Source organism: Homo sapiens, chromosome 3 (assembly GCF_000001405.40).
Source record: "Homo sapiens chromosome 3, GRCh38.p14 Primary Assembly".
NCBI lineage: Eukaryota > Metazoa > Chordata > Mammalia > Primates > Hominidae > Homo > Homo sapiens.
The window spans coordinates 34486895-34501221 of record NC_000003.12 but is presented as its reverse complement, the minus strand read 5'-3'; the positions used below and the strand labels follow the sequence as shown (position 1 = coordinate 34501221).

Here is a 14327-nt window from a genome sequence, read left to right as displayed (position 1 = left end):
AATTCTGTAATATGGCCCCACCCAACTCAGGAGAGAATGAAAAATAGAGTTTAACTATGTACAGGAAGAAAAGGAAAGAAATTTGGGAAATACATGGAAGCCTGTGTCACAACGAGCATTAACAAAGTGGAGCCCACTCTTACACTCTCTGCCTGGATGAATGGACCTCTAGCCCAGTCAGCCTGAGCTAGGAACTCAGAGTTGGCTGCCCACTCCTCCAGATCTGCCACTATATGCATAAGTTCTGTTGACTTTTTCTACTGAACATCTGTGGAGCTGGCTTCTTCCCTTCTAACCATTTCAAAGATCCACTGGGTGAGCCCATGTTCTACCTAAAATGTTTTAGGAACTTCTGAACTTGGCTTCTGCTTAAAGTATTACCATTCTCTTCAATGTAGTTTTCACACAGCACAAAGTGACACTTCTAAAATGCAAAATAGGCTGACCACGTCACTTCCCTGCTTAAGTGTCTTTAGTGACCGATCACTGTCCTTACAGTAATTCAAGCCTTTCTGTATAACATATGGAGGCCCTTCATTATCTGGGGCCCATTTGTTCTTCAGCCTAACATGTCATCACTAACTTACAGTATTCCACATTTCAGCCATCAAACCACTGTACCTTGAATTCCCTGAACTGACTCCATTCTTACAAACCTTCAGCCCTGGTTTATGACATTCCCTGAATTAGAAATGCCCTTTCTAACTCCCCCATCCCAATATTCCCCACTTGGTTGTCTCCTATTCATAACATTCATCTCACTAATCATTACCCTCAGAAAGCCTTCTCCATCCTCAGGAATATCTAAATCCCTTCTATCAGTTTCTACCAGAAGGCCCCTGCACATACCTCCTCCACTGTGTTTACCACACTATAGTTTATACACTCATTTGACTTCATTCACTAGATATTGTATCTGTCTGTACTCCCACTGCCTAGGATGGCATCTGGCACATTTAAGTATTCAACAAATATCCATAGAACTTAAACCACATTCATCATTAAAATGATTGAATTATTGTGAATTGTCTATTTTTTTAAAAAGTGAGAAAGAGGGCTTCCTGTCGCCTCCCCTCACCTAACACATGCTAGGCAAAATACCATTAAACAACAGACAAAAATATTAATAACAATAGTTATCTTCCCAGTAATAATCACCCAGTCATCAAGCTGAAATTATCTATTTTATTTCTGAAATATAATAGGTGATTCTAATTGTTCTTTTGATTACATTTTCAACTACCTTTTTCCTATCTCCTTCCATTATACTCATCTGATTAGAAATAAAGAACTCTTCTTAGCTGAGTCTAATTCTTCGACTACTTTGCATCTGCATCTCAATGGCTTAATATAGCTAGAGAAAAATCCCACAATGGCCACTGACTGGTCTCATGCAAACCTAGGGACCATTAGCTGCCCATCAATCCTACGATATTTTCTTATACAATTTACTCATTCATGCTCCTAAAATTCCCTTCACTCTTTGTTTTTCCTTAAATTTCCAACTTCCTTCCATGTCCCTAATCTCAGCCAATGTTCTGGCTGATTATTTTATTGAGTAACAGAAGCAAGCAGTATAGAACTTTCTCTTGCTACTACAAGTCAGTCAGTCTACCCACATCTGTATGTATATACTCTTTCTTCCCCCTGTTACAATAGAAAATATATTTGTGCTTTACCCAAGATACCTCCTCCATTTCTTCCATTCTATTCTAGATTTCATTCCCTCTTATTCCTCAAGGAATCCTTTTTTTTTTTCATTATTCATCTTCTCTACTGCAATATAGGAAATCTCTTTCTCTCTCCCTCTGTCATGAACCATTCTCATCAGCATTAAAATATTCTCATTAAAGTTGTTCATCTTACAACAAACCTCTCCCTTGATCTCAAAATCCTCCCCAGTTACTGACCCATTTTCTCTTTTCTTTTATGGCAAACTCCTCAAAAGTTTGCTGCCTCCTCAACCTTTCTTCCTATGCTCTCCACAAAACTTCTTTTATCAAGCCTCCAGTGATCTCCGTGTTGCCAGTTTTAGATATCAACTCTTAGATGTCATCTTATCTATTTTGTCTGCAATATTTAATACAGTTTTTCAGTCATCTCTTCTCCTTCAAACATGTTCTTCCTTTTGCCTCCAAAGTGTCACCTTTGGTTCTCATTTTCCTTCCTTGGCTGCTCCTTCTGAATCTCATCAGCTGGCTGCCCCTTATGTTCCATATTTATGAACACCAAAATGTCTCAAAGCTCAGGCCTTGGGTTTAAGTAATTTCATTTAGTTTCATTACTTCAGTGCCGTCTACAAGAAATGACACACACATTTAAAATTTCTCCTCTGAAGTACAGATCCTTATTTCTAGCTGCCTACTTACTGCCTCCACTTCCATAACTAAGAAACATTTCAAATTGTATACATATAAGCCCTAACTATATTCACAATCAAACTCCTAGTCCATCAGCCGTACCTCTCAATAAATTGCAATTCCATGTTTCATGGAATTTCTCTCATGCGAAAATTTGAAGGCACCCTTAATTCCCTTCTTTCCCCACTTATCCCTCCATCTGGTCTTGCTATCTATTTTCAGAGTACGCCTAGACTCTGCCTATTTCTCTACGTCTCCACCAATATGACTCTGAATTTGAGCCATCATCTCTTTCCAGGGCTTTTGTCACTGTCTCCTAACTGATCTCCCTGCTCCACCTCAGCATTCCTGTAGTTTTCCTTCAAATACCAGCCAGAATAATCCTTTAAAAAAGCAAACACTTTGAGAGGCCAAGGTGGGCGGATCACAAGGTCAGGAGATCGAGACCATCCTGGCCAACATGGTGAAACCCTGTCTCTACTAAAATACAAAAAATTAGCTGGGTGTTGTGGCTGGCACCTGTAGTCCCAGCTACTGGGGAGGCCGAGGCAGGGGAATTGCTTGAACCCAGAATGTAGAGGTTGCAGTGAGCTGAGATCACAACATTGCACTCCAGCCTGGGCAACAGAGCGAGACACCATCTTAAAAAAAAAAAAAAAAAAAAAAAAAGCAACCCATGCCAGGTCATTATAACTTTCAGTGCTTCCCATATCACTCTGAATAAAAATAAAAATCTAACCACGCAGACATGCAGGATCTTGCCTCTGCTATGTCTCTCATATCTCCTATCATTCTTGTCCTTGCCCTTTTCCTATTTTTTTTTTCCTTTTGAGATGGAGTTTTGTTCTTGTTGCCCAGGCTAGAGTGCAATGGCGTGATCTCAGCTTACTGCAACCTCTGCCTCCCAGGTTCAAGTGATTCTCCTGTCTTAGCCTCCCCAGTAGCTGGGATTACAGGCATGTGCCACCATGCCCGGCTAATTTTATGTTTTTAGTAGAAACAGGGTTTCTCCATGTTGGTCAGGCTGGTCTCGAACTCCCCACCTCAGGTGATCTGCCCGCCTTGGTCTCCCAAAGTGCTGGGATTACAGGTGTGAGCCACTGCACCCAGCCGCTCCCTCCCTTTTATCCATGTTTGCCATCATATGATGCCTTAAACACTAAAAACACCATCCCATCTTACGGTCTTAGCATCCATTCCTCTGCCTGGAATGTTCTTTCTCTAGACAGACAAATTCCTTCAACCCTTCTTTATCCTTCCTCATCACATGAGAGACAGCCCCTCTATCTACTCTAGCTAACATCACATTCTCTCCATCTCTGCCCTTTGCCTGCTTTGCTTTTGCTTCTTAGAATTTTTCACAACTGGACATATTATTTACCTGCTAATTATATGTATCCTTCATTAGGATAGAAGATAGAGTCAGCTCCTTGAAGGGAAAAATTTTGTTTTGCTCAATGCAATATCTGCAGTAATTAGAATTACAGACAGGTAGTAATAATCAATGAATGTTTATTATGTGGTAGCTAGAATATGTGCGTCAGGCAGCATTAGAAATAATACATACAGGGACAGTGTGTCATCATGGTTAAGGCTGCAGATTTGGGTCAAAATGCCAACTTGAATCCTGGATCCATTATTCACTGGCAATGTGATCTGAGTAAGCCTGTCTGTGCCTCTGTTGTATCATCTACAAAATGGAAATAATATTAGTACCCCTATCAAGGAATATTGTGAGGAGTAATTTGAATTAATTCATATAAAGCTCTCAGAATAAAGCTTGTGACATATTAAACGCTTCAGTAATATTATCCATTGCCACAGACTTGATTGAATGATACAGTATTAACAAGGCTTTCACTGTACTACTTTTATCATCATTAAATGACCTTTTTAATACTTGATCATTTGCAAAGGAATTTTTACATATGTTATTGTGCTCCATTCTCACAACCAACATATAGAGCATAAATAACCCCAAGCTGGAGATAAGACTTAGGCACAGGGAAGTAAAAGAGAGCATGCACACGTGTGTACACATGCATATGCACACATTCGCAGATCCTCTTTTGCTTGACAAACTGCTGTTCACCCTTCAAGCACTGTGCCCACATTGCACTTTGAAGCTTTGCCTGACCATCCCATTTCCAGCCAGGTGGAGTTGCCTTGATCTCCTTTCCACCCCCCTGCCCTTGCTGCCAACCTTAATGAATAGATCTCTCGCAATCTTGTCTCTCCCACTGGACTCTGGACTCTTTTTAGGTAGGTATAATGACTTGCCAACTATAGTGCTGTACATGTTGGCACGAGCTCCATGCCTTTTTCCTCTGGCATGACATAGTCATTCAGAATCCATATTTCTCTGACGTTAACACCAGTTGCACCAGCTGCCAATGAAGGATGCCCTCTTCTAACAAAAACTTTACTGAAAATTAGCCCCCAGAGAGTGTCTCATGTGTGCTGACTTATTCCTCCTCAATCTATCTGGATACTCTCAGTGACATCTGCTGACATCTTAGCTAGACAAGGTCCCCAGACCCTACTCTGCTGCTGCCATTTTCTAGGAAAAAGCTGGTATCCATTGCTTTCTAACTCCTCGGTTTTCTCCACACTTCTTGCTCTGGCCTGTCATCTGAAGCCCTCTCCACCTGCAAGTTATGCTGTGTTCATCTTCCTTTTGTGCCTCTCCTATTAGAGAATTACCAGCATTGCTACCAGAAACTCTAATGTCTTGCAGATAGGGGATAACAACCCTCAGAATTTTACTTGAAGCCTCCTCTCCATGGAGTTTAGCTCTAAGTCCATAGTGCTGGGCAGGAAGACAAGTCTAAGTACGGACAATGAGCTTTCCATTCAAGACATCCCCTATCTCTTACAATGAAATCATCAGTAGGGCCCAAGCCTGTGGATCCCTAGAATAAATTTGGGCCCAAGCCTGTGGATCTAAACTTCAACTTCCCTAGGATAAATTTTCCCTACAGACATGCCTGAATTGTTCCTGCTCTACTATCTCCCCCTAATACACCCTAAAATGTCAGCCAGCCTGGGGTTCAAGATGGAATGTTCCCTTCACTACAAAGTAAATAGCTAGCAAGGGGTAGATGGAATATAGCCCATTTGACTCAACAGCCCATGTGTTTTCCAGTTTCCTTGCCATGCTACCTCTTTCCTTGAAACTGGATGCCCAAATCAAAAATGACAGCCAGGAAGCATGACTAATGAATTCAGTGCTTCTTATTTTAGGTATAACTGTGCCAATGAACTGAAAACTTCTAGTTTCTGGTCCTTAACTCTGGCACTCAAATGCTAGATCCCTGGTAAGGAGAAACTATTTGTTCTGATTATTTCCATATTCTATTAACAAGGGGAAAGATATCCCCAAGAAGAAAGGTTTTATATATAATATATATATATATAAGTTATTATTTATATATTATACATTATATAATTATATACATCATATATTTATATATATTAATATTTATAAAATATTATGTGTGTATATATATATATACACATAATATTTCTGTTAGAGGGTCAAAAGATAAAATATTTGCTTTTTGATCACATAACTACAAGGTTCAGGGGACAGTTGGAGAAGTCTGCCCTATTGAGAACACCATGAACCTGATTGCTGTCTCTTCCTAAATTTTCAAAGTATTTAATAGAAGAACTCATAGCAGGTGAGGTACAGTGGCTTACACCTGTAATGCCAGCATTTTGGGAGGCCAAGGCGGGCGGATCACGAGTTCAAGAAATCAAGACCATCCTGGCCAACACGGTGAAACCCGTCTCTACCAAAAATACAAAAATTAATTGGGCGTGGTGGCGTGCACCTGTAGTCCCAGCTACTCGGGAGACTGAGGCAGGAGAATTGCTTGAACCCAGAAGGTGGACTGTGTCTCAAAAACAAAGAACAAAGAACAAAGAACAAAAAAAAAGTTCAGCAGAAAAGGAACTTGAAGAGAAATTGTACTCACACACTAGGGCGTGCAGTGGTGCAACTATCCATGTGCAGTCTGCCGTGGCTTGTACAGCAAACTGCAAAATAGCTCCCATTCTCCATCTCTCTGTGTGTCCATACCCCTTTGCAATGAAGTATAACTGCAAAATAGTGGTGTGCAATGTGGTTTATCTCCCCCTTCCTTTGAATATGACCTGGTTTTTGTATTTTGCTTTAGCCGTAGAATACAATGGAAGTTTTGGGGTGCCAGAGCTGAGCCCAGGCCTCAAGAGTTTACATTCTTCTGCTCATTCTCTTGGAATCCTGCTGAACTGTTCTGTAAATAAACCCCTACCAGTTTGCTGAAGGTTGAGATACCCAGAGAAAAAAGATAACTTGGTTAAAGTTTACCATAGCCAATAAATAATAGAATCCAAAGCAGGACCAAAATCCAACTTCCTAGGCTCTGATGCTAATGTTTTTTCTAATACACATATTCCCCAACTCCATCCTCCCCAAGGAGTTAGTTGCATTCATCATGATGGAACTAACACAATTATGTTCCCTGGAAAAGAGAAGGGGCATTAATCTCACCAAGAGCTTGTTTTCTAACTTGCCTACCAGCTAAGATTTTTGGAGTGGCAGACACTATTCGTGCCCTGCTTATAAAGCTCTCAGCACTCACCATTTCTGGGCATTATAACTCTAAGGCTTCTATAATTGGGGCAAGAGATGGTGTGTGCCACAGAGCTTTTGTCCTGTCTGCTGGAGCCCATTCTGCTAATTTCCAGGCAGGCCCAGGAGAGTTAATGACTTTGCAAGCTGGCCTCAGGAGTAAGTATGTAAATACCCTGTCTCACTCAATCGACAGGTGGAAAAACTCTGAAACATTTCTACGCTGTTTTCCAATGGTATTGAGCTATTTGCACACTGCAGGAACCTGCTTGGGAATGTAGGGTTCATTGCTTCGTTTTCTTCCTTATCTCACTTCCTCACTCCTCATGGGATCAACTTGTAAACTACTAGCAATCAAATGTTTGTTTCAGGGTCTGCTTCTGAGACAACTCATTCTAAGACATTTGATAAGCTAGGGGTAAGCAATTTTTTTCTTAAAAGACCAGGTGTTAAATATTTTAGGTTCTTGGGTCATAAGATTTCTATCACAACTACTCACTTCAGTTGTTATGGCATGTAAGCATAGATAATACTTAAATGCATGTACATTTATGGGTTCTAATAAAACTTTATTTGCAAAAAAATAAGTGGTGGGCCATATTGAACCCTGGGCTATGGTTTGCTTACTCCTGTGATAAGCTAATAATATGGCTCTAGTTGCCGTATACAAAAGGGAATTTATTGGAAGGATACTGTGTAACTCTTAGTCAAAGGAAAACTTAGAAACTGGAATTGAAACTGAACAGAACAGGGGTTCTAGGAAGAAAATGATTATGGTCTCTTCAGAGCATGCTCCCAGAATTAATCAGTTCCAAGTCATTTTTCTGCCATTGAATCTGTCCACTCAGAACTCAGAAAGTCAGGATGGAAAGACCAATCAACATGGCTTGGAACATGAGTCCACTACTTTCCTAGGGTAGTGCAGTGCAAGAACATGCGGTTGACAATCCTACCACAGATACTATGCAATGGGGAAGAAATATTTTTCCTATGGAATTCAGGGTAATACTGCCAAAAGAAGATAAACAGGATGATGGATGGCCACAGAAAATGTCTACCACATTTGCTAGTCTGACATTTTGTCAATCTTCTGAGTTTTTTGGTTCCACCTTAATAGTTATTTTCCAACTCTGGTCACTGTTACTTCCTCCTCAACTTTGATCCTCCTCTAGAATTTCTGTAACATTTTTCACAATCTCCATTACTTAAGGGAATTTATCTAGTAATAGAACTAATTTACTACACAGAAAAACGTTTTTGTTTGTAGTCCTGTCAAATATTAAAAGTGTGAATGCATCAACAATTTGACACCCTAAATTCATCCATTCCCTTGTATCTGTGTCAGTCTCTGGCATGAGATCTTAGAAGGCCACTTTGTGCTCCCAATCCTAAATCACATTTTAATGGACAAAATTCCCCCATTCTGGCAAATCAGTATGAGGATCTATAAGTTCTGCAGAGAATTAGACTACTGAATAAAATTAAGCTGTCAAAATGCGGATGCTAACTTGCAATTCCTGTTCTAACCGAAACAGCTTCCTCTGATTATATTATCAATATAGAGACACAGTCCTGTGCAGACCAATTTTAGGATCCAAGCCCTCCATATGGCAATGCTACATGAATCTGTGACATTTTATAACATTTCTTAAGTGACTTAGGATAAATGTCACTAGGCTATTGAAAAAGTAAATGGCTGACCTTTAAATAGGATCATTAATTAGCTCATTCCTTGTCTAAGCATGACTTCCTGCCCTCCTACACAACCTCCAGAAGTTAGATATATCTGAACCCGACCACCCTAATTATCATAGGTCTAACCTTGCTTTGACCATCTCATGTTCAGAGTTGGAGAAGTTGTCTATCAAGTTTTGCTTACTATAATGGGGCTTGACTTCTGTAAATCATTCAGAATACAATTTTCATTTTCTTCAAGAAAACCTAGGAGGGTTGGCTATAGATGTACTGAGAAAATATGTTACTTATTGGATCATATTAAGTTAGATAAAATATATTTTTTACATTAATTTTTGTCTTTTTTTACTTTTTAATGTGGCTACTAGAAAATTTAAAATTACACATGTGATCAACATTATATTTCTATTGGACAGTGTTGCCCAGTGTTGTAAATGTGCTCATAGTTCACTGAGAACACTTAATAAGTGTGAACCATGGGCAAATTTACAATGTATATGAAGGCTTCTGTTTACATAAGACCACTACCAATTGCAAAGCCACTCAGATTTGGCTGTTGTTCTTTCCTAGAGCATTACTCAAGCAAAAAATTAACTTAAAAAGAAGCATGTGAACTAAATTGCAAACATTTAAGAACCTTCAATGTTAGTAAATGAAAGAAAGCTGAGCTCATATCAGCTGTGTTATTAATATTCATTACAGTGATTAATCATGGAAGTAATGTTTGTTGATTGTTTTTCTGTAATGCTCACAAGGCTTGTTTTGGCATAAAGTGTAAGAGGAGCTGATCTTTTATTTGTTAAACTATGGTTCCAGTGGTCTGCCTTGCAAAAATAACCAACATCAAAACCCAAGACGATTTTCATAGTGAAGACCATGAGCTTACAGAGGGGAGCCAGCACACAGAGAAAGGGAAGGAAGGAAACAAGAAAGGAAAGAAGCATTCAAACAAGTGTCTTCATCTCTAAAATAAGATGGGACTTGAACTAGGCCTCTAAGGCAGTTTTAATCTTTGAAAATCTTTGTAATAAAATAATTTAGCCTCAAAACAATGTTTTATTTAAATTTGTGAGTGAAAGCTGAGTGTTGTGGTAAGCGTCTATAGTCCCAGCTATTCAGGAGGCTGACGTGGGAGGATCAATTACTTAAAGCACAGGTGTTCAAATTCAGCATGGGCAACATAGCAAGACACTATCTCTAAATAAACATAAGAATGATAATAAATTCATTTTTGAATGAAAAGATACAGAATAGGAAAGAAAGCAGAAAGTGAGAATACGCAATGAAAAATAAAAGTAATGAAGAGATGGAGAGCACACAAGTGAGAGAAAATGGAGGAAGATTAATCTACATTTCTTCTCCACATGGAGACACACACTCCATCAGCCATAGGAGAAGGCACTAACTGCTGGCTTACTGAGCACCTCTTTCAGACCAGGTGTGCGTTGGAAACTTAGGGCACATTTTCTTTAATGCTTAACTCTGCCGTGTAAATATTATGCTATTTCTCATTTGAGGAAACAGAGTCTAATAAATTGGGGCAAATACATTAGCCAAGATCAGAAGTAGCAGAATGAGAATTTAGAACCAGGCCTACTTAACTCCAAAGCCCATGTTTCCCTACTTCTCCTAAAAGGTATGCCTATCACTTTACCCTACTTCCTCAAGTGTATGCTGTCAATGAAGAATAAAATCAGAATTTATTGCTTAAGATCTGACAACAAAGCAACAGCTTTGAAGTCGACCACTCCTATAGACTCTGAGGTCCAGTGCTGTTCAATATAATAGCCCTCAACTACATTTTAAAATCACCCCAGATTTTGAACAGTTACTGCTAAAATAAGAATGAAAATGTCATTAATAAGCTTTAGATTACATATTAGTATGATAATGTTTGGATATATTGAATTAAAGTGAAATATATTATTTAAGTACATCTGTTTCATGTTAATTTTTAATGAGGCAACTAGAAAATTTAAAAATACTTTTATTTTCCATTTTATATTCTATTGGACAGCAATACTGTGGGCTATGAAGAGGAGGCTTACTATTGCACTAAACACAATACATCGTGTTGCCGATACATACATATGACAGTAAGAAGGTTCTCCTGAAAACTTAGATTTGTTCATCTGATGGTAGGTTGAAGACACTGTGTGCCCCACCCACACCCTCTTTAACAGACCTGGGCACTAATTCCTCAGCTGCAGTGAGTGTTGGCTACTAGCAGCTCACAGCTGCCTTCTTCTCTGAAAAATTCACCCCAGACTGATAGCAGTCACCTGGGGAGGGAAGTTATAGTCCTCCCTCACCTCCCTCCCCCAAAATAAGTAGCCATCTTATTGGCTACTGACCTATTTAGTTGCCTCAAGGCCAGACAATTCTGTGGTGCTTTTATGACCCAGAGCCCCCCTTGGAACAGACCATGTTTAGACTTTACCTTGCTTTGTCCCTTCCCCTGCCTTATTCTACTTAGCTCCCTTCCTTATGATGATGGGAGTTTTTTCTTCTCTGGCTTGTTGGTTGTCTTTTGTTTTGTGAAAATACCCTCAATGAGCCACAAGCACAAAATCCTTGTGTAAGGCTCTGCTTTTGGAGAACCCAACCTGAAATCTGATGAAACCCACATTTTTCAGTCTGTTTCCACAAGTCAAATATTATGCATGTATTAGTATCAGTAAAAAGTGCAGCAAGCATGGCAACACACTACTAGCAATTATTGATTTCAATGATACAAGCTTATTAACCCATTTCTTTATGCCTGACTCCAGTATAAAGGATGCATTTCATGATGACTGCTGGCCCCCATTCTAGTTTCAAATGAAATGAGACAAAAATTAATTAAATTACAGATATCTTCCTGGGATTTAATTTACATTGCTTACTTAATACTGGATTAGAGAAACAAAAACATGATAAAATTCAATACTGGACTGGCTAGAAAGGAAAACAAAGGGAGCTAATTTATTTTTACATACCAATTGTGCCAGGAACCAACCTATGTGCTTTTAAAACTTTACCTCTTTTAAGATCTGAGATTATTGTCCCTACTTCACAGATGAGAAAACTGAAGTACACAGAAGCTCTCTAACTTGTCCTAGGTTACTTAAAACTCAGACCCTGGGGCAAACTAGTGCAGGTGTCTTTTTTTATACAATGTTTTCTGCTTAGGGAGCTAAGTAGTAGAAGATAAGGAAGCAGGATAAAGTCAAACTTGGTTTGATCCAAGGGAGCTGCTGGGTCATAAACAGCACCACAGACTTGTCTGCCCTTGAGGCAAACAGTGGATAGTGAATAGTGCTCTACCAATAATTTTTTAACTTTTCTGATTAGTCATACCTATAATAATCTAGATACCCAATATATAAAGTTCTAATTATTTTAGGTCACTTTTTAAATATGAGTAGTTTTTTAAAAATATCATAATACCAGTAAAGAAGTAAGAATGAAACTCATGTCTCCAGAATATCCAAAGCAATCTAAGCAAAAAGAACAAATCCAGAGGCACCACATTGCCTGGCTTCAAACTACACTACAAGCTAGCATAAACAAAACAGCATGGTACTGGTACAAAAATAGACACATACACCAATGTAACAGAATAGGGAAGCCAGAAATGAAGCCATATGCCTACAAACAATTGATCTTCAGCAAAGTTGACAAAAATAAACAATGGAGAAAGAAGACCGTATTCAATAAATGATACTGGGAAACAGGCCAGCCATATGCAGAAGAATGAAACTAGACTCCTATCTCTCACCATATAGAAAAATTAACTCAAGATATATTAGATTAGACTTAAATGTAAAGCTGAAACTATGAAAATCCTAGAAGAAAACCTAGGAAAAACTCTTCTGGACATTGGCCTAGAAAAATAATTTATAATGAAGATCACAAAAGCAAATGCAACAGCCATTTTTAAAAGACACATAGGACTTCTGCACAGCAAAAGAAATAGTCAACAGAGTAAACGTATAATCTACAGAACAAGAGAATGTATTTGGAAATTATGCCTCTGACAAGGATTATATCCAAAATCTACATGGAACTCAAACAATGAGAAAAAAGAAAAAAACACCTTATTAAAAACTGGCTTATACACTGTTGGGCAAAGGACATGAACAGACACCTCAAAAGAAGTAGTACAGGTAGTCCATAAACATATGAAAAAATGTTCAACATCAGTAATCAGAGAAATGCAAATTAAAACCACAATGAGATATCACCTTATACCAGACAGAATGGCTAATATTGAAAAATCAAAAACCAACAAATGTTGGTGTGGACGTGGAGAAAAGGAAATACTTATACACAGTTGGTGGGAATATAAATCAGTTCAACTTCTATGGAAAACAGTATGGAAATTTCTCAAAGAACTAAAAATATAACTAATTGACTCAGCAATCTCACTACTGGGTATCTATCCAAAGGAAAATAGATCATTATATAAAAAAGACACCTGCATTTGTATCGTCATTGCAGCACTATTCACAATAGCCAATTCACAGAACCAACCTAAGTGTCCATCAACAGTTGACTTGATAAAGAAAATCTGTGTGTATACACATGTATCACATATGTGTGTATGTATAGATGTATACATGTGTATACATCTATACATATATTTATACATCTATACATATCATGGAATACTATATAACCATAAAATAGAATGAAATCATGTCCTTTGCAGCAACAAGGATAGAACTAGAGGCCATTACCCTAAGTGAACTAACTCAAAAACAGAAAATTAAATATTGCATGCTCTCATTTACAAGTGGAAGCCAAATAATGGCTATATATGGACATAAAGATAGAAATAATAGATACTGCGCACTCCAAAAGTAGAGAAGGGGGTTGAAAAATTATCTATCGGATACAAAGTTCACTCATTAAGTAATGGGTTCACTAGAAGTCCAATCCCTACCAGCACACAATATACCTAAGTAACAAACATGTACATGTACCCCCGAATTCAAAATAAAATTTTAAAAATAAAAATGCATGTCATCTATTTTGTCATTCTTTATTATGTTTATATTATTAGAATCCTCTTAAATCCACACTTTGCAGAAGTCTTGAGGAGCCATTTTGTGAGTGATGGTTTGGTTAAAACTAAACATTAGCTAAGAATCCACTTGGCATTGCATAATGATGAGAGAAAATGAATGTAAGGCATCCACTTTCTCTCAAGAGGCCCTCACTATTTGATATATAGCCTGAATGAAGGTATGTCTCTCAATCTGTATTTAAGTGTTTATTAGAAAGTTTTATATGCCCTTTTTTTGTTTAAGATGGAGTCTCGCTCTGTCGCCCAGGCTGGAATGCAGTGGCATGATCTCGGCTCACTGCAAGCTCTGCCTCCCAGGTTCATGCCATTCTCCTGCCTCAACCTCCCAAGTAGCTGGGACTACAGGCGCCCACCACCATGCCCAGCTAATTTTTTGTATTTTTAGTCGAGACGGGGTTTCACTGTGTTAGCTAGGATGGTCTTGATCTCCTGACGTCATGATCTGCCCGCCTCGGCCTCCCAAAGTGCTGGGATTACAGGCGTGAGCCACCATGCCTGGCCTAGAAAGGTTTATGTGGTTTCTTATATGCTCTAGATTGCAAGGGATTTTAAATATAACTTCTATGACTCTTTTTGCAGGTTA

General features: G+C 38.6%; 1 long non-coding RNA gene across 1 annotated transcript; it reads right to left on the bottom strand.

The window, feature by feature from the left end:
• Positions 1 to 3855: 3855 nt before the first annotated feature.
• LOC124909364 (uncharacterized) lies at positions 3856 to 12396 on the bottom strand. The gene is made up of 2 exons (XR_007095864.1): positions 6341 to 12396; positions 3856 to 4050 (listed from the first exon to the last, which is right to left on the bottom strand). It is a non-coding gene; the product is annotated as an uncharacterized LOC124909364 (long non-coding RNA).
• Between the last annotated feature and the right edge of the window lie 1931 nt (positions 12397 to 14327).